This window comes from Homo sapiens, chromosome 12 (assembly GCF_000001405.40).
Source record: "Homo sapiens chromosome 12, GRCh38.p14 Primary Assembly".
Taxonomy (NCBI): domain Eukaryota; kingdom Metazoa; phylum Chordata; class Mammalia; order Primates; family Hominidae; genus Homo; species Homo sapiens.
Window position 1 is genome coordinate 123645425 of NC_000012.12, and position 20238 is coordinate 123665662.

The 20238-nt window shown below is 42.1% G+C and overlaps 1 protein-coding gene across 5 annotated transcripts in view, besides 1 other annotated feature; it reads left to right on the forward strand.

The window, feature by feature from the left end:
• Positions 1 to 17180, forward strand: part of GTF2H3 (general transcription factor IIH subunit 3) — a 28776-nt gene extending 11596 nt beyond the window's left edge. For 2 of the 5 annotated variants that reach the window (NM_001516.5, NM_001271867.2), the window contains 11 exons: positions 31 to 137; positions 2539 to 2702; positions 5570 to 5632; positions 7108 to 7137; positions 7283 to 7311; positions 9500 to 9574; positions 10347 to 10400; positions 14092 to 14160; positions 14371 to 14506; positions 14622 to 14658; positions 14742 to 17180. In NM_001516.5, the coding sequence (NP_001507.2) occupies positions 31 to 137; positions 2539 to 2702; positions 5570 to 5632; positions 7108 to 7137; positions 7283 to 7311; positions 9500 to 9574; positions 10347 to 10400; positions 14092 to 14160; positions 14371 to 14506; positions 14622 to 14658; positions 14742 to 14811 (834 nt within the window). In that variant the 3' untranslated portion in view covers positions 14812 to 17180. Of the gene's footprint in view, positions 1 to 30; positions 138 to 2538; positions 2703 to 5569; positions 5633 to 7099; positions 7138 to 7282; positions 7312 to 9499; positions 9575 to 10346; positions 10401 to 14091; positions 14161 to 14370; positions 14507 to 14621; positions 14659 to 14741 lie in introns of those variants that run through there. The other 3 variants (NM_001271868.2, NM_001271866.2, XM_017019228.3) reach the window with 3 other exon arrangements.
• Positions 13914 to 15113: an enhancer, noted in NCBI's record as "CDK7 strongly-dependent group 2 enhancer chr12:124143885-124145084 (GRCh37/hg19 assembly coordinates)". NCBI's record gives its function as "activates an origin of replication core promoter dependent on BRD2, BRD4, P300/CBP, MED14 and CDK7 cofactors, with strong dependence on CDK7, by STARR-seq in HCT116 cells {active_cell/tissue: HCT116}" and the evidence as "EXISTENCE:reporter gene assay evidence [ECO:0000049][PMID:35650434]".
• Positions 17181 to 20238: the final 3058 nt, after the last annotated feature.

Genomic DNA, 20238 nt, shown 5'->3' on the forward strand with positions numbered 1-20238 from the left:
GTTTTTCTAATGTCTTTTTTTTTCCAACAGTTCACTTTATCCAAATGCATAGATGCCGTGATGGTGCTGGGAAATTCGCATTTATTCATGAATCGTTCCAACAAACTTGCTGTGATAGCAAGTCACATTCAAGAAAGGTATGACCATTGTGATTGCTTTTGCTCTTCAGTGCTTAATATTCATGAGTTTTCTGTGCCAGTTGGCATGTATTGTTCCTACTCCATGTTGCAAAAGAAAATGTTTTCTGTACCAGTGAACAGCCACAGCACCAAGAGCCAGTACATGTACATTGTGATATCCATGAAATTTGCAAACCTTATTATTAGTAGATAGTAGAGTTACACAATGGCCCATGTAATTTGCACAGATTGAACTATATTATTTAGGCAAAAAGGGAAAGAGAGCTATCAAATCGGACAGCTACTTTCCCTCACCTGTCTTCCCATTTTGTGTCTGCCCCAGCGTGCAAGTTAGATGGGAGATGTGATTCTGTTTTCCTTTAGCTCTGCGTAGTTCTCATGGCCTGTTTCCCTGCTCTGTGAGTGAACCTGGTGCTTTGAAATAAGGATTTTTCTTATAACGTTGGCTTCTAAACCCAAGCCAACTACTCCATCTGGTGCTTGGCAGAAGAAACAGTGGTCGCTTCTAACACTAGTGTGAAAACTGGCTGTGTTAGACTCACTGCAAGATGGTGCATAGCCTGCAGCTGATGTGTAAATGTGACCGCAGATACAGCAAAGTTTTTGTGAATAATTTGGGCCATATTTACTTCTCACATTATGCACTGACAGAAGAGTTGAATTACCATGTAAGACACAGCTCTTCTATGTCTTTTTTTTTTTTTTTTTTGGAGACAGGATCTTGCTCTGTCACCCAGGCTAGAGTGCAGTGGCACTATCATGGGTCACTGTAGCGTCTGACCTTCTGGACATAAGTGACTGGACCTCCTGCCTCAGTCTCCCAAGTAGCTGGGACTACAGGTGTGCACCACCACACTCAGCTAATTTTTGTATTTTTTGTAGAGATGGGGTCTCACTATGTTGCCCAGGCTGGCCTTGCTCTCCTGGGCTCAAGCAGTCCTTTCACCCCAGCCTCCCCAAGTGCTGGGACTGCAGGGATGAGCCACTACACCTGGCTCTTCTATGTCTTAATCACCACATTACAATAGAAGTGACTCTTGCTCACCAACATATTTCATATGGTAGCTGTCAGATTTTCTTGGTTCTTAGGGCTGCCTGCTTCCTCTGGTGAGGTGAGAGAGCCCATGGGCCACCAAACACATACTCTTACTCCCATCCTCGCTGCATATTTTTTCTCAGAATTGGATGAAAAGATGATATTAGTTTGGTTAAAATACCAGTAAAAACTATACCTGTCAAAGTTTTTTTTTTTTTTTTTAATCAAAGGTATCCTCTACCTGATTATCTTAAAAGTCACAAGGCCATGGCTGGGTGCGGTGGCTCATGTCTGTAATCCCAGCACTTTGGGAGGCCGAGGCGGGCGGATCACGAGATCAGGAGATCAGGACCATCCTGGCTAACATGGTGAAACCCCGTTTCTACTAAAAATACAAAAAAAATTAGCCGGGCATGGTGGCGGGCACCTGTAGTCCCAGCTACTCGTTAGGCTGAGGCAGGAGAATGTCGTGAACCCGGGAGGTGGAGCTTGCAGTGAGCCGAGGTCGTGCCACTGCACTGCAGCCTGGGCGACAGAGCAAGACCCTGTCTCAAAAAAAAAAAAAAAAAAAAGTCACGAAGTCACGAGGCCGGGCTCGGTGGCTCACGCCTGTAATCCCAGCACTTCAGGAAGCTGAGGCAGATTACTTGAGGTCAGTTTGAGACCAGCCATACATAGCAGCCAACATAGTGAAACCCCATCTCTACTAAAAATACAAAAAATTAGCTGGACGTGGTGGTACACTCCTGTAATTCCAGCTACTTGGGAGGCTGAGGCACGAGAATCACTTGAGCCCGGGAGGTGGAAGTTGCAGTGAGCTGAGACTGCACCACTGCACTCCAGCCTGGGCGACACAGCGAGACTGTGTCTCAAAAAAAAAAAGAGTCATGAATCACTGGGAGAATCTTTTCAGGGACCTTTGGGCCAGATTTTTATTACTGGGATAGATATGTACCTCAAATAATAAACTAGTAGTGAGTTAGAATTTGGTATGAACCTGTTGTGGTTGTCATTTGAGAAAGGAAGGCACGGGCACCCCTCTGCAGCATTTCTGAGATTATAACCCAACGCCCTCTGTATTTCCCCACACTTTTCAGAAAACACTGGAATCAGTAAAACATTCTGTGGTGATAGACAAATGTTGGCCAGTTTGCCTATTTTATACATTTTTTCTTTGTTTTTATACGCTTTTTCTAATTTTATCTTACACATTTTTTTTAAAAAATGAAATTTACCGTGGAATCTTGTGAGTCCCACATTGTTGTAATTTTGTTTGTTGCCTCTGCTGAATTTCATTCTGATCATGAGTGAGCCTGGGCGGTGAGGCCTGGTGTAACCAGGTTTTTTCCCCTGCTGTTTCAGCCGATTCTTATATCCTGGAAAGAATGGCAGACTTGGAGACTTCTTCGGAGACCCTGGCAACCCTCCTGAATTTAATCCCTCTGGGAGTAAAGATGGAAAATACGAACTTTTAACCTCAGCAAATGAAGTTATTGTTGAAGAGATTAAAGATCTAATGACCAAAAGTAACAACTTTTAAACATTGTTATTTTGCAAATAGTGTTGATTTTGGAGGTCCTTTAGGCTTTAAGTTCAAAGATGTGAGGTTCTTTATGTTGTATGCCTGCACGTTCTCACTTTTTAAAAATCATTTTCGTCAAAGTTGGTTCATTATTTGCCTAGCCTCTACAGCATTTGACGCTGCTGAGCAGCCTTTACTTCTGGAAACACGACTTTTGGCTTCTACGAATGCCCTGTGACCTGTTTTTCCTCTTTTCTTGAAACATTATTTCATAGTCTCTATTTCTGGCTTTTCCTTCATCTTGTCTCTTAAAATATGTTTTTAATTCGGCACATGATTTTCATCTTTTCTCCCTCTATATGTTCTCATCCACTTTTGCCTTTAATTATCTTTTACATATGGACACTTTCCAACTTTGTTTCTAACCCAGACTTTCTTTCATGCTCAAATGCCTCCATTTCAGCGTCCCACAGTCTCTGGACATGGCCCAGGCTAGTCTCATTATCTTTGCTCTCACTCACACCACCATTTCCATTCCCTATTTCTGTCAGCTCCCATCCAAGTAGTTTTCTAAACTTAAAGCTTTCATTTTTAACTCCTGCTCACATCCGACATCTAATCAGCTACAAAATCCTAGTCGTTTAGCCTCAGAAGTGTCTCCAGAATCCCGCTCCTTATTGTCATCTTTTTATTTTTCATTTTTAAAATTTTTATAGGGACGGGGTCTCACTATGTTGCCCAGGCTGGTCTTGAACTCCTGGGCTCAAGCTATCCTCCTGCTTCTGCCTCCCAGAGTGCTGGGATTACAGGCAGGAGCCACCACACCCAGCCCCCATCCCTATTGTCATCTCTTTTTTTTGAGATGGAGTTTTGCTCTTGTTGCCCAGGCTGGAGTGCAATGGCACGTGATCTCAGCTCACTGCAACCTCCGCCTCCCGGGTTCAAGAGATTCTCCTGCCTCAGCCTCCCAAGTAGCTGGGATTATAGGCACGTACCACCATGCCTGACTAATTTTTAATATTTTTAGTAGAGATGGGGTTTCACCATGTTGGCCAGGCTTGTCTCCAACTCCTGACCTCAGTTGATCCACCCAACTCGGCCTTCCAAAGGGCTGGAATTACAGGTGTGAGCCACCACACCCAGGCCCCATCCCTTATTGTCATCTTGATCGGCCTCAGCATTATTGACATTTTGGTCTGGATAATTCTTTGTTGTGGCAGCTGTCCTATGCGTTGTAGGATGTTTAGCAGCATTTCTGGCCTTGGGCCATTAGACACCATAATATCCCCCAGTTGTGACAACCAGATATGTCTGTAGACATAGCCAGATGCCCCCTGTAGGGCACATTCACCCCACGTTTAGAGCCACTGCTCTAGATTGTTATAGCCTCTAACTGGTTTTCTGACTCCTGTCTCCCCAGTCAAGCCTTTGCACTCAGCCTCCAGAGTTATCATCTTAAAAATCAAAGCTGCCATTCCTGGGCTTATAGGCCTTTCCTGGCTCCCTGCTGCCTGCAGGTGATGGTTTCCAAACCTTAGCCTGAATCAGAATCACCTGGGGGAAAAGACAATTCTGTGGAGACAGAAAGTTGGTTAGTGGTTGCCCAGAGCTGGGCAGAGACTGGGGAGTGATTGCAAATGGGCCCAAATGATCTTTTAGGGTAATGGAGACTGTTCTAAAATTGGATTGTGATGATGATTGCATAATTGTAAATTTACTAAAAATAATTGAATTGCATACCCAAAAGTACTTTTAGACCAGAATTTATGGTTTGTACATTATAAACCTGTTAAAAAATCAGCTGGAAGGCTTGTTGAAACAGTGTCAGGCCCCACTCAGTTTCTGATTCACTGGATCTAGGGAGGTCCTGAGAATTTCTATTTCTATTACAGTGCCAGGTGGTGCCCCTATAGCTGGTTCCAGAATCTCACCTTGAGAGTCACTGGCCTCCAGGATTAAGTCTCAGCTCAGCTTCACAGTATAGTGCTCAAGACCTTTTCTGGTCTGACCTCACCCATGAGGTGTCAGTTCTCCTGGACCAGCTCTAAGCTGGCTTGCACAGAGTGTCAATCTGAGCTCCTTGCCCTCTTGAACTGCAGTTTTAGGGTTTTGATATCTTGAGTGACTTTTTTCACCCAAGGCACCAAACAAGTGGCAAACTCCTCCCTGCTTCTCATGGCTCGAGGAAAGAGCTTCTCCAGTCTTCCCCGCACTGGCTGAGCACGGAGAGTGATGGGAAGGAGGGGATGGTGGGAGAGGGAGGGCAAGGGGGCCTCAGAGCCTTGTACCCTGTCCAGGCTGCTAGACTTATGCGTGACATTTTGTACCACATAGATCATGAATAAACTGGAACCTTTCCAAGTAAAAACGGGATCTTTTTGTGTGTGTATGTATGGTAAAGTACAAATAACAAAATTTGCCATTTTACCGATTTTTAGAATTTTTAATGTAAAATTTACTTACCATAAAATTTACCATTTTGACAATATTTAAGTGTACAGTTCAGTAATGTTGAGTATATTCGCCTTCTTTTGCAATCATCACCGCCATCCATCGCCAGAACTTTTTCATCTTTACAAACTGAAATTCTGTACCCATTAGACACTAACTCCCTGTTCCCCCTGCCCTCTGGCTAGCCCCTGAACAACCACCAGGATGTTTTACATTGAGAAAAGGTTAAAAAGTTGCTTAGTTAACCATTACCAAGAACACATTGCTATGTTTTTAAACCTAGTTTGAAAATGTCTTGTTTGATTTCATTTATGAAGAATGCTTTGGTGTGAAAGCATACTTAGTTCAATAAAGCACCCAATGATTTTAGTTCAAGAAAGTACTTAAAAATTCCCTTTTAATGTTTTCTGTTATTTGCAGGTGACATAAAGGGTCAACATACAGAAACTTTGCTGGCAGGATCCCTGGCCAAAGCCCTTTGCTGTATCCTTGGTGTCTGAATCATTTAGAAGGTGTCTTCTGTAATAAACATATCTTAACTTGTGACATTTCTTAGGACCTTGGGTGCCCATTACTGGGACATGTGAGTACTCTGAAGTGGAGGGTAATTTTTTAAAAAATAGTTTACATTGGCTTTGAATTTTTTTTTCTTTTTTTGAGACAGTCTCACTCTGTCGCCCAAGTTGGAGTGCAGTGGCACAATCTCGGCTCACTGCAACCTTCGCCTCCCAGATTCAAGCAGTTCTCTTGCTTCAGCCTCCCAAGTAGCTGGTACAGGCACCCGCCATCACTCCCGGCTAATTTTTTTTGTATTTTTAGTAGAGATGTAGTTTCACCAAGTTAGCCAGGCTGGTCTCTAACTCCTGACTTCAAGTGATCCACCCACCTCGGCCTCTCAAAGTGCTGGGATTACAGGCCACAGTGTGTGGCTGGCTTTGAAATGTTTATTAAGACAAGCTGTAAAGGCCGGGCGTGGTGGCTCATGCCTGTAATCCCAGCACTTTGGGAGGCCGAGGCAGGCGGATCATGAGGTCAGGAAATCAAGACCATCCTGGCTGACACAGTGAAACCCCGTCTCTACTAAAAATACAAAAAAATTAGCTGGGCGTGGTGGCGGACACTTGTAGTCCCAGCTACTAGGGAGGCTGAGGCAGGAGAATAGCGTGAACCTGGGAGGCAGAGCTTGCAGTGAGCTGAAATCGCACCACTGCACTCCAGCCTGGGCGACAAAGCGAGACTACATCTCAAAAAAAAAAAAAAGAAAAAAAGATAAGCTGTAAAAACTGGAAGTGGGGAAGAGTGAGAAAACTCTAGCTTCTCCATTATGTCTTTCTGCCTTCAGGAAACACTGCTTCAGGGTGCTTTCTTGTTTCTTATTTTGATAAATTCAGACTTTTTAAACATTTTCATTTTCTTCTTGACTTGGGAACAGTGTTTGATTTTTAAAAGCCATTTAGGAGCCCTGAAGCTTAATAAATGAGTGGCTCCTTCTCCATAGGTGAACGGGTTGTTTTGCATAGGGCAATACCTTTTCATTTTATCTGTGTGACGTTTTCTCAGTCTTATGGCATTAATTTTTTGGAGGAGGGGCAGTATTGAGTGATTATTTTGTCCTGGAGTTTGATGTGGGTTGCCTGAACATATTTGTAAATCAGTACTTGTCCCAGGATTCAAATTTAGGACATGGTAGGTAAGAATAGGACAGTCAAGTGTTGGGAATTTTAATTTTCTGGGACAGAGATTATATTTTGGTGAGATTACAAAGTCCAGTTGACTGCAGAGTTAGGAACTGAAAACCCCCAATCACTCTTGTGTATTTATCTTGGTGAGTGGAGCATTTCCCTTCTTAGCTAGGTAGATGCTGGGTTTATTTAAAATTGGAGGTTATTTTTCTTTTTACTATAAATATTTATGAAGCAAAATAATATTTTTGTATTCCTTAATGTTAAGAAATTAAGACATTCATAGAATGAACAAGGAAGTTAAAGGTAAGAGCCTACGTTTTCCTATGAGAACTGTAATCCTACTTATTTTACTAGTATTTCTTTACTAGACTGTTTAAAAATTGGTTAGGAAACCATATATGATTAGTAAGATTTAGTTAAATTTTTTTCTGCTTTTTTCTCTTTGTAGACAATCAGGAAATGAAATCAAGGATATTGGTAAGATAAAAAAATCATTACTTTTTTATATGACAACTATAATTAGAAAACATAACGGGAGACCAGGTGTGGTGGCTCACACCTGTTATCCCAGCACTTTGGGAGGCCGAGGTGGGCAGATCACTTGAGGTCAGGAGTTCGGGACCAGCCTGGCCAACATGGTGAAACCCCGTCTCTACTCAAAATACAAAAATTAGCTGGGCGTGGTGGTGCATGCCTATAGTCCCAGCTACTTGGGATCCCGAGGCAGGAGAATCGTTTGAACCTGGGAGGCAGAGGTTGCAGTGAGCTGGAGGTTGCAGTGAGCCGAGATCACACCACTGCACTCTAGCCTGGGTGACAGAGTGAGACTCCGTCTCAAAAAGAAAAAAAAAAGAAAACATAATGGGAAATAAAACGCATTTATAGTAGGAGCAAAAAATGTTAACTATCCAGGATTCATTTAACAAGCAATGTGTAAAACTGATGATAAGGAAAACTAAAATTCTGAGAGCGATAGAAGAATAAGTGGAGAGCCATATTTTGTTCTTGGATGTCAGTTTTCCCAAAATCACACTGTAAATTCAATTTACAATCTCAGTCAGAATATCAGGGAGGTTTTTTTTTTTCCTGGCAGGGTGGGGAGATTTAAAAAAGAAATTCAAGGCTGAGCACGGTGGCTCACTCCTGTAATCCCAACACTTTGGGAGGCCAAGGCGGGTGGATCACGAGGTCAGGAGATCGAAACCAACCTGGCTAACATGGTGAAACCCCGTCTCTAGTACAAATACAAAAAATGTCGTGGGCGCCTGTAGTCCCAGCTACTCGGGAGGCTGAGGCAGGAGAATGGCGTGAACCCAGGAGGCAGAGGTTGCAGTGAGCCGAGATTGCGCCACTGCACTCCAGCCTGGGCAACAGAGCGAGACTCTGTCTCAAAAAAAAAAAAAAGAAGTGCCAAGTAACGAGATATTCATTGTTTGTTGCTTAGCACAAATGAAAAAGCTGGCAGTTCCCAGGGTTGATGGTGATGTTGGGGATTGCTTATTCTCATGGGTTGCTGATAGGAGGATAAATTGGTAAAAATCTTTTCTGGGGTGCATTTTGGTAATCTGTGTCAAAATTAAATGTTCATATACTTTAGTAATCACTGCTTATTTTCCGGAGGTAATTAGAGAGCTGTGCAGATGGTATATGAGGGTATCATCAGGGTATTGTTTAAAACTGAGAACTGGAAACTGCTTAAATAGTGGAAATTTATGAAGTCCGCAAGGAGCATAGTATATATTATAATTCATTGACATTAGAATATTTTTTCCCACATATATTGTGGACTGAAAAAGCAGGTTGCAGAATGCTAAGTAATCATCTTGATACGTGTGAGTGTGTGTATTTTGGATGTGTGTGTATTCTGGATGTGTGTATGTGTGTATATTTTGGATGTGTGTGTGTTTTGGGTGTGTGTATGTATTTGGGGTGTGTTTGTGTGTTTTGGGTGTATTTTGGGTTTGTGTTTGTTTTATGTGTGTATTTGGGGTGTGTATATTTTGGGGGGGTGTATTTTGGGGGGTATGTTTTGGATGTGTATTTTTTGGGGCTGTGTATTTGGTTGTGTGTGTGTGTTGGGTGTGTGTATTTAGTGGTGTGTGTACTTTTGGGGTACGTGTATTTTGGTTGTGTGTGTGTGTATTTTGGGTGTACTTACCTGTGTATTTTGGGTGTATGTCCGTGTGTGTATTTTGTATATGTGTGTGTTTTGGGTGTATGTGTATTTGGGGTGTGTGTATTTGGGGTATGGGTGTATTTTGGGTGTGTATTTTGGAGTGTGTGTATTTTTGGGTGTGTGTGTGTATTTTGGGGGTGCATGTGTGTATTTTGGGTGGGTAGGTGTGTGTATTTTGGGGGCGTGTGTGTATTTTGGGTATATGTGCGTATGTGTTTATTTTGTGTATGTGTGTGTTTGTGTTTTGGGTGTGCATGTATATACCTGCCCATGTAGGTGCTCTCCAGAATGAGTTCATCAAACCGTTACGTGGAGCGGGATTTCGGGGGAAATGTTACTGTCATCTTTATACTTTAGGTATCATTTAACAATGATAAATGGGAAGACAAACTGGAATAATGTTGGTTGTGGTTCGCAGTATATTGTGTGACATTGGTGTGAGAGGACTGGCATGTGCCTGGGTGGAATTAACATGACTGTGATTTTTAGGTGATTAAGGCTGCAGAAGACAGTGCGTTGCAGTATATGAACTTCATGAATGTCATCTTTGCAGCACAGAAACAGGTGAACTGAGAGCCTGCCGTTTAAAGTATTTGTTTCATAACGAAGGAGTCAATTTCATTTTTTGAATGCTCTACTCTGAGGTATTCTGACTACGTAGGCTTATGAATGGGCAAGGAATCCAGAATCTGTATTATGTTCTAGTCTTTTCTCTATTTTGGGTCCTGGACCACTTGAGAATCTGATGCATTCCCAAAACAATATGCACTCAACCACAGTTTTGCATAGAGTTTCATGGTATTCAGGTAACCTTTAGCCCATCCTTGGACCCCATGCCAAGAATCCCTGGTTTGACAGTTTGCTGTATAAACCTTGCATCAGTTTCTTTATCTTGTTGCTGTGGCGAAGCTGTAAAAATTCAGTATTTTTACTTTGCAAAGAGCTGAAATGTTCAGATGAAGTATAATACATTTTCTTCTTTGGTGTGTTTATGAAGAAAGAAAACCTCCTTAAAATTTCAGTTTTAATGTAAAATGCTGCTATAGCCATGCATAATGTTCTCTGTTGTGGAGTGGCAGCATGATGTAGTGAAAAGAGCCTGGACTTTGGAGACATGCCGAGTGGGGTGACAGCTTTCTCACCCGCTGGCTCTGTGACCACAGCCCAGCCATGTCCTGGGTGCTTCAGCTGCCAAATGCAAATATCTGCCGTGCAGAGTCACGTTGCATATTGAGTGAGCTATTTTAAGCATAGAGTATGGCATGTAGTAGGTTCTCAGTATAGGGTAATCATTATTGTTATTATTCCTGTAATATTTTCAAAATGTTTCTTTTAGAATATTTTGATTGATGCCTGTGTTTTAGACTCCGACTCAGGGCTCCTCCAACAGGTATGTTTTAAAACCATGCTTTGTGTCGGTGGTTATGACAATTAGTGATTTTTATATTGATTACAATTTAAAATGAAAGCTTTGGGTATATTGGGTTAAATAAAATATGTTATTCAGCCTAATTTTATCTATGTCTTTCCCCCTTACGTATGGAGCTACTGGAAAATTTTAAATTACATATTGCTTGCGTTATATTTCCGTTGGGCAGCACTAAAAGACAAAAACTGAATTTTACTTTAACCCGAAAGGGAAACAAAACCCTAAAGTAAGTCTGAAGAAATTACTGAGTTTTTGTTAGATGTTTTTTGGCCACAAATGTTGTTTCCTAAAGGATCAGTTACAAGCACAAAACTATGACAAACCCTGAATTTAGGTTACTGCTGGGGATGAAGGATGGGGAGAGCGAGGTCCAATGGGAAAATTTACATGCTTCAAAGGCTCTGAGATTGTACTGTTTCTTCAGCTTGATCGTAGGTATATGATGTTCATTTTATTATTTAAACCATACTTACACATTATGTATACAGACTCTTGTACATATTATATTTCAGTAGTAAAAATTCAAAAAGTTTGAATTCATTTTTTAGCAACACATTTCAGTCTACACATTGTCTATTAACTCCAAGACGATCTTGTCTCTGCCATGAATTCACATACCAGCTCTACCTCCTCAGCCCTCACATTCATTTTTCTAGTCCAGTCCCAGACTCTCCTGAGTTCCAGACTTGCAGAATCAGCCGTGTACGTAGTACCTCCTCTTGGACGTCTGGCAGGCATCTTCAGTGTCATGTGTCAAAAGCAGAGAGCTCTTGGTTTGTCCTCTCAGCCTCTTCCTGCTCCACTGGTAGCCCCATCTCCCTAAGTGGCAGTGCAGTTCACTCAGCAACTCAAGCAAAAACCTGACTCTTCCTTGTCTCTTCTCTTCCCTCCTTTCATAACCATGAGCAAATCCTGTTGATTCTGCCTTTAAAATATATCCTGGCTGAGCTCAGTGGCTCATGCCTATAATCTCAGCACTTGGGAGGCTCAGGCGGGTGGATGGCTTGAGCTCAGAAGTTTAAGACCAGCCTGGGCAACATGGCGAGACACCATCTCTATAAACAATACAAAAAAATTAGCCTATCATGGTGGTGCACGCCTGTAGTCTCAGCTGTTCGGGAGGTGGAGGCAGGAGGATTGCTTGAGCCAGGAGTTCGAAGCTGCAGTCAGCTACGATCATGCCACTGCACTCCAGGGAAACCCTGTCTCCCTCTTAAGAAAAAAAAATGTGAAAGTTGGTTCTCAGAACAGCTGTCAGAATGAAGCTTTCAAAATACAAGATTGGTGCAAAAGTAATTGTGGTTTTTGCCTTTTTTTTTTTTAACAGTAAACACTGCAATTACTTTTGCACCAACCTAATATAAATTAGAACCTGTTGCTCACTTGCTTAAAACCCTCCCATAGCCTAGCATCATACGTTGACTAAAACCCAGAGTCAGGGCCTGCCAGGGCCTTCCAGATGCTGCTTGCTGAGGCTCCTGGGAACCTTTTGCCCCGCATCTTCCACACTCTCCCTCTTCAGTCCGGCCCCACCGCCCCCTTGCTATTGCCTGAAACAGGCCTGCTTCGGCCAGAGGGGCGCTGCACTTTCTGTTCTCTCTGCTCGCAAGCTCTTCCCGCAGGTGTTTGCATGGCCTACTCCCTGCCTGCCTTCACGTCTCTACTTCTGTGCCACCTCCTCAGAGAAGCCTTCCCTGACCACCATTGTTAGTGTTACTCCCTCTCCCCTTAGCCTACTTTATTTTTCTTCATAGAAATGATCATAACCTATAACATTATTTTTGCATTTACTTACCTGATTTACTCTCTGCCTTCTCCACTAGAACCTTAACTTCATGAGGATGGACACTGTGATGTTTACTGCTGTAACCCTGCACAGTGCTCTAAAACAGTTGTTAAATGTGTAAATGAATCTAACGGACCAACTGAACCAGGACTGTACTATCAGAGGAGCCTCAGGGTCCTAGGATCGGAGCTAGGGTTTTCAGTGTAAATGGAAGCACTGCTGTGTTAAAGCGAGAAAGCTGTGTTTATGAAATGAATAGATGAATGATTGTTGGGAAAAACTATTAACATGGACAGGAAACCTTAGTGTCAGCAACCAGGAGAGCTTGAGTGTTTTGTGTCTTTGGAAAACTCTGAAGATAGCAAAAGTTTGGAAAAAGAGGACCAAATTCAAAAGAGTTTTATTTTTATTTTATTTTATTTTATTTTTAGACAGAGTCTTGCTCTTGCCCAGGCTGGAATGCAGTGGCATGATCATGGCTCACTGCAGCCTTATCCTCCCCAGCTCAAATGATCTTCCCACTCAGTCTCCCAAGTATCTGGGACCACTGGCATGCACTACAATGCCTGGCTAATTTTTTAATTTTTTGAGACAGTTTCACTCTTGTTGCCCAGGCTGGAGTGCAATGGTACGATCTCGGTGCACTGAAACCCCAACTCCTGGGTTCAAGCGATTCTCCTGCCTCAGCCTCCCAAGCGGCTGGGATTACAGGTGCCCGCCACTACGCCCAGCTAATTTTTGTATTTTTAGTAGAGACAGGGTTTTATACTCTATTGGTTAGGCTGGTATCGAACTCCTGACCTCAAGTGATCCGCGATTACAGGCGTGAGCCACCGCGCCCGGCCTAATTTTTTAAATTTATTGTAGAGACAGGGTTTCACTATGTTGCTCAGGCTGGTCTTGAATTCCTGGGCTCAAACAGTCCTGAAGCCTTGGCCTCCCAAAGTGCTGGGATTACAGGCATGAGCCACTGCACCTGGACAAAAAAGTGTTATTTCTTAAAGAGAACAGAATAAAGCCATCTCACAGTTTCTTTTTACATAATAAAATTAACAAAATACAATGAAAACAAATCTCATAAAAATTAAAAATTTTTGTGCTTCCAAGGGCACTATCAAGAAAGTAAAAAGACAACTGGGAGAGATATTTGCAAATGATGTATCTGATAAAGGGACTAGTATTCTGATTATATAAAGAACTCTTAAAATTCAAAAATAAGACAAATAACTCATTTCAAAGTGGGCCAAGGATTGAACAGCTATTTCTCCAAAGATCTGCAAATGGCCAAGAAGCACATGAAAAGATGCTTAATATCATTACCGACCAGGGAAGTGCAAATCAAAACCACAATGAGCTATTACTTCACTCCACTAGGACACATGTAATCAAAAAGTCAGCTAATAATAAATATTGGTGAGGATATAGAGAAATTGGATCCCTCCTACATTGCTGCTGGAAATGTAAAATGGTATAGCCACTTCAGGAAACAGTTCAGAACTTCCTCGAAAAGTTAAGCATAGAATTACCATGTGACTGGGGAAACCCCGTCTCTACTAAAAATACAAAAATTAGCCAGGCATGGTGGCGCATGCCTGTAATCCCAGTTACTGGGGAAGCTGAGGCAGGAGAATCACTTGAACCCAGGAGGCAGAGGTTGGAGTAAGCCGAGATTGTGCCACTGCACTCCAGCCTGGGCGACAGAGCAAGACTCTGTCAAAATATAAAAATAAAAATAAAATAATAATAATCTGCAGTGTCATATCCTCCTCTGATTTTGTAGGCCCAAGGCATTGCTCATGAGAACCTCATTCCTCTGGAAACCCTAGGTAAGTGCGAGTTTGGCAGCAAGCCGCCTGTGTCTTGCAGGCTTGTGACATCACGGGAGGACTGTACCTGAAGGTGCCTCAGATGCCTTCTCTTCTGCAGTATTTGCTGGTAAGGAGACAGCAGCGGCGACCCTGATGCCTGGAGGGAAGGATGACCTCTGTGTCCTGGGAAAGGAATGGAAGCAAGATGGCTGGTGCTAGTACTCAGGAGAAGGGAATAAATGGAGGCCTTGGAGTTCCAAGGCCTAGAAGGGTGGGCTTCATGTTATTTTTTTCCCATGTTTTAAATAAAAGTTTCTTTTGTTTGTTTGTTTTACAGTGGGTGTTTCTTCCCGATCAAGATCAGAGATCTCAGTTAATCCTCCCACCCCCAGTTCATGTTGACTACAGGGCTGCTTGCTTCTGTCATCGAAATCTCATTGAAATTGGTTATGTCTGTTCTGTGTGTTTGTCAAGTAAGTTAATGTACCTAGTTTTTCTTTTTTTTCTATGTTGGGGGGCAGGAAAACAGTTTCTCAGCTGTGTTGTTTTTCAGCCACCCTATTGTTTCTTTTTTTTTTTAATTTACAGTATTCTGCAATTTCAGCCCCATTTGTACTACGTGCGAGTAAGTATCTTTGAGATTGTGTGGGTGGCTAATACTTCACAGCTCTAGAACATTAAAAAATGTTTTCCTCTCTGTAATTTCAGGACAGCCTTTAAAATTTCTCTGCCTCCAGTGCTGAAAGCCAAGAAAAAGAAACTGAAAGTGTCTGCCTGAGGATAAAATATTTTCCCCATCTTTTAGAGCTGTTAATAGAAATTATATAGCAGATTCTTTGTTGGGAAGACTGAAAAAAATAAAGATAGGTATAGGATAATTTTTAATATGGTGACCTTACAGAAAATATTTCCCAAACATCCTTTTCATCCTGTGCTTCTGGAGGACTGATTTGTTTGAGGGAATCATTCTATGCATTATATCCTAAAATATTCTATGACTGGTTTCTGTCCATGTTTGTGGCTTTCATTTTTTTAATGGGATGACTATTAGTCAAAGTCAGCTTGTCATGACTCATCATAGGCTTTCTAACCTACTCCCTGAATCCGGGTCCTCATTGTGAAATGCATGCCATACGAAATTTGAACGTAGCTTTGGAAAAAGGGACTATTTGTGGAGTAATGGCATTAATCAACATAGAACATCTTATTTGAATCAACAGTTAACTTCAGTAGTCATGTGAATAAAATTCTTATTGTCTAAATTGAGACAGCCTCAGATATTTGCAGATATTTACTTTTTGTCTGATATCAGTACATATTTGGACAAAGTCATCTAAATAATAGTTTGTCACCAAATAACTACAAAATCTCATTTTAAATGAGTAAGGAGAACGTGTACAGAAGCAAATTTTCTTCAAAATAGTTGTGGGAAGAGCTTATATGTGAAAGCTTATGACTGGTTTTGAGGGAGAACTTACTGGAGAAAATGGACTCTATGTTAAGTATGGTTTTCAGATAGAATTCTTTCCTTTTTTAATGAGGAAAAAAAATCCACATTAATATTGAAACTGCACCTGTAATCCCAGCACTTTGGGAGGCTGAGGACAGAGGATTGCTTGAGCCCAGGAGTTCGAGAGCAGCCTGGGCAGCAAAGTGAGACCCCATCTCTACTAAAAATTTAAATGTATTTATTAAAACTGTTCTCTAGAAGCTTTGGACTGAATCCCAAAAGTGTTTATAAGTTCAAAAGCAAAAGTATTTGTAATTTCAACAACAAAAAATGTATTTCTTTATGTAATCTTGAAATTATTAAAAGTCCTTTTAGCTTCTAGCACATATTTGTACAAAGAGTTTAAGGAATGGTGGCTGGTTTGGTTTGTTTTTTAAAAATGTTTACTGACGAGGCCGGGCGTGGTGGCTCACCCCTGCAATCCCAGCACTTTGGGAGGCCGAGGCAGGCAGATCACAAGGTCAGGAGTTCAAGATCAGCCTGGCCAGTATGGTGAAACCCTGTCTCTACTAAAAATAGAAAAATTAGCCATGCGAAGTAGCAGGTGCCTGTAGTTCCAGCTACTCGGGAGGCTGAGGCAAGAGAATTGCTTGAATCCAGGAGGCAGAGGTTGCAGTGAGCCAAGATAGCGCCTCTGTACTCCAGCCTGGGTGACAGAGCGAGACTCTGTATCAAAAAAAAAAAAGATCGGGCACGTTGGCTCACGCCTGTAATCCCAGCACTTTGGGAGGCCAAGGTGGGTGGATCACGAGGTCAGGAGTGATCAGGCTGGGTTTCTGTTTTGTTTTGTTTTGTGAGACAGAGTCTCGCTCTGTTGCCCAGGCTGGGGTGCAGTGGTGCAAGCTCGGCTCTCTGCAAGCTCTGTCTCCTGGGTTCACGCCATTCTCCTGCCTCAGCCTCCCAAGTAGCTGGGATTACTACTCTACTGAACCCATGAGGCAGAAATTTGAGACCATCCTGCCCAACGTGGTGAAAACATGGTGAAACCCTGTCTCTACTAAAAATACAAAAATTAGCTGGGCGTGGTGGCAGGTGCCTGTAATCCCAGCTACTCAGGAGACTGAGGCAGGAGAATTGCTTGAACCCAGGAGGTGGAGGTTGCAGTGAGCCAAGATCAAGATTGCGCCATTGCACTCCAGCCTGGGCGACAAGAACAAAACTCTGTCTCAAAAAAAAAAAAAAAAAAAAAGTCTGTACTGATAAAACCCATTGTGTACAAAACTTTGTATGTAAGGAAGATTTTAATTTTCTCTTTATACAAGCTGAGTCATATTTAAATAATTTGATGTTGGCTTAGATAATTTCAGATAGATTTTATATTCTGGATTTGTGTTTTTGTTAACAAATATACAAAGACTTTGGTGATCACTTTGCAAATATTTGTTAATCCTTGAGTTTGAGAACCTGTCTTTTAAAAATAATATTTTGTATACTAATTAAGTGTAATGGAAATCACAATTTTAAGTCTAGGAAATAAAGTATTATATATACTTTCAAACAAGCTAGCAAGGCTTTTATTATTACTTTTTTATTTGAAATATCTTATATATTTGGTTAGTTCTGTTTAACTTGTTTTTAACTGTTGCCCTTATGAGTTATTTTATATAAATTTTTACAATAAAATAATTTGATTTTCATATTTGGTTGAATTATTTCCTTTCATTCATTGTTTATCTCATGCTCATTCAACTCTTCTTCAAATGTGTACTTTTAAACTGCATTTGGTCAAATGCCAGACAATTTTTTATTCAACTCCGAAGTACTTTAATTTCAAATCTTGGTCTGCGTGCAGTGGCTCACGCCTGTAATCCCAACACTTTGGGAGGCTGAGGCAGGAGGATCACTTAAGCCTAGGAGTTCAAGACCAGCCCGGGCAGCATGGCAAAACCCTGTCTCTAAAAAAAATATAAAAATTAGCCAGGTGAGGTGGTTCATGCCTGTAGTCCCAGCTACTCCAGAGGCTAAGGTGGGAGGATCGCTTGAGCCCAAGAGGCGCAGGTTACAATGAGTCATGATCATGCCACTGAACTCCAGCCTGGGTGACAGAGTGAGACCCTGTCTCTAAATAAATAAATGCTCCTGGTTTTTGTATGTTGATTTTGTATCCTGCCACTTTACTTATTTCATCAGTTCTAATAGTTTTTTGGTGGTGTCTAGGTTTTTTCGGATATAAGATCGTATCATCTGCAAACAAGGATAATTTTACTTTTTCCTTTTTAATTTGAATACCTTTTATCTCTTTCTCAGGACTTATTGCTCTAGCTAGGACTTTCAACACTATGTTGAATACCAGTGGTGAAAGTGGGCATCCTTACCATGTTCCAGATTTCAGAGGAACGGTTTTCAGTTTTTTTCCTGTTCAGTACGATACTAGCTGTGGGTCTGTTATATGTGGCTTTTGTGTGTGTGTGTTGAAGTATGTTCCTTCTTTGCCCAGTTTTTTGAGGGTTTTTATCATGAAAGGATGTTGAATTTTATCAAATGCTTTTTGAGCATCCATTGAAATGATCAGATGGCTTTTGTTCTTCCTTCGGTTGACACGATGTATCACATTGATTGAGTTGCCTATGTTGAACCATCCTGTTGAACCATCCTTGCATCCCTGGGATGAATCCTACTGGGTCATGATGAATGATTTTTTTTTTTTTTTTTCGAGATGGAGTTTCGCTCTTGTCACCCAGGCTGGTGTGCAATGGTGTGATATCAGCTCACTGCAACCTCTGCCTTCCTGGTTCAAACGATTTCCCTGCCTCAGCCTCCCAAGTAGCGGGGATTACAGGTGCCTGCCACCATGCCCAGCTAATTTTTTTGGATTTTTAGTAGAGACTGGGTTTCACCATGTTGGCCAGGCTGGTCTTGAACTCCTGACCTCAGGTGATCCACCTGCTTTGGCCTCCACAAGTGCTGGGATTACAGGCATGAGCCACCACACCTGATTGAATTATCTGTTTTTTTTTTGGTTTGTTTTTTTTTTGTATTGAGATGGAGTCTTGCTCTGTCACTCATGCTGGAGTGCAGTGGCCTGATCACGGTTCACTGCAACCTCTGCCACCTGGGTTCCAGCGATTCTCCTGCCTCAGCCTCCTGCGTATCTGAGATTATAGGTATGCGCCACCATGCCCGGCTAATTTTTTTGTATTATTAGTAGAGACGGGGTTTCACCATGTTGGCCATGCTGGTCTCGAACTCCTGACCTCAAGTGATCCACCCACCTTGGCCTCCCAAAGTGCTGGGATTACAGGTGTGAGCCACCATGCCCGGCCTGAATGATCTTTTTAATGTGTTGTTGAAGTTGGTTTGCTGGTGTTTTGTTGAGGATTTTGCATCAATGTTCATCGGAGATATTGGTCTGTAGTTCTTTTGTTGTTGTTGTTGTTTTTTTTTTGAGACAGAGTCTTACTCTGTTACCCAGGCTGGAGTACAGTGGCACGATCTCCACTCACTGTAACCTCTGCCTCCCAGATTTAAGTGATCCTCCCGCCTCAGCCTCCCAAGTAGCTGGGAGTACAAGCATGCGCCACCACACTCGGCTAATTTTTGTATTTTTAGTAGAGACGGGGTTTTGCCATGTTGGCCAGGCTGGTCCCGAACTCCTGACCTCAAGTGTCCACTACCTCAGCCTCCCAAAGTGTCAGGATTACAGGCGTGAGCCACTGCGCCCTGCTGGTTTTCCAATTTATTGGCATATAGTTGCTCATAGTAGTCTCTAATGATCCTTTGAATTTCTGTGATATCAGTTGTAATGTCTTCTTCATCTCTGATTTTACTTATTTGGGTCTTTTTTTTCTTAGTCTGGCTAAAGGTTTGTCAATTTTCTTCTTTTCAAAAAACCAGCTTTTCATTTTGTTGATCTTCTGAATTTTTTAACTTGTAGTTTCATTTATTTCTGCTCTTGCTCTTTATTATTTCTTTTCTTTTCTTTTTTGTGACGGAGTCTTGGCGCTGTCCCCCAGGCTGGAGTGGAGTGGCACAATCTCGGCTCACTGCAACCTCTGCCTCCTGGGTTCAAGCGATTCTCCTGCCTCAGCCTCCCAAGTAGCTGGAACTACAGGCATGTGCCACCATGTCTGGCTAATTTTTGTATTTTTAGTAGAGATGGGGTTTCACCATGTTGGCCAGGCTGGTTATGAACTCCTGACCTCAGGTGATCCACCTGCCTTGGTCTCCCAAAGTGCTGGGATTATAGACGTGAGCCACCATATTATTTCTTTTCTAATATTAACTTTGGATTTGGTTTACTCTTTTCTAGTTCTTTAAGAAGCATCATTAGGTTGTTTATTTGAAGTTTTTCTACTTTTTTGATAAAGGTACTTACTGCTATAAGGTCTCCTCTTAGTACTGCTTTTGCTGTATTCCATAGGTTTTGGTATGTTTTTCCATTTTCGTGTGTTTCAAGGAGTTTTTAAATTTTCCCTCTTAATGGCCGGGCGCAGTGGCTCGTGCCTATAATCCCAGCACTTCGGGAGGTCGAGGTGGGCGGATCACAAGGTCAAGAAAATGAGACCATCCTGGCCAACATGGTGAAACCCCATCTCTAGTAAAAATACAAAAAATTAGCTGGGCGTGGTAGCGGGTACCTGTAGTCCCAGCTACTCAGGAGGCTGAGGCAGGAGAATTGCTTGAACCCGGGAGGCGGAGGTTGCAGTGAGCTGAGATCGTGTCACTGCACTCCAGCCTGGTGACAGAGCAAGACTC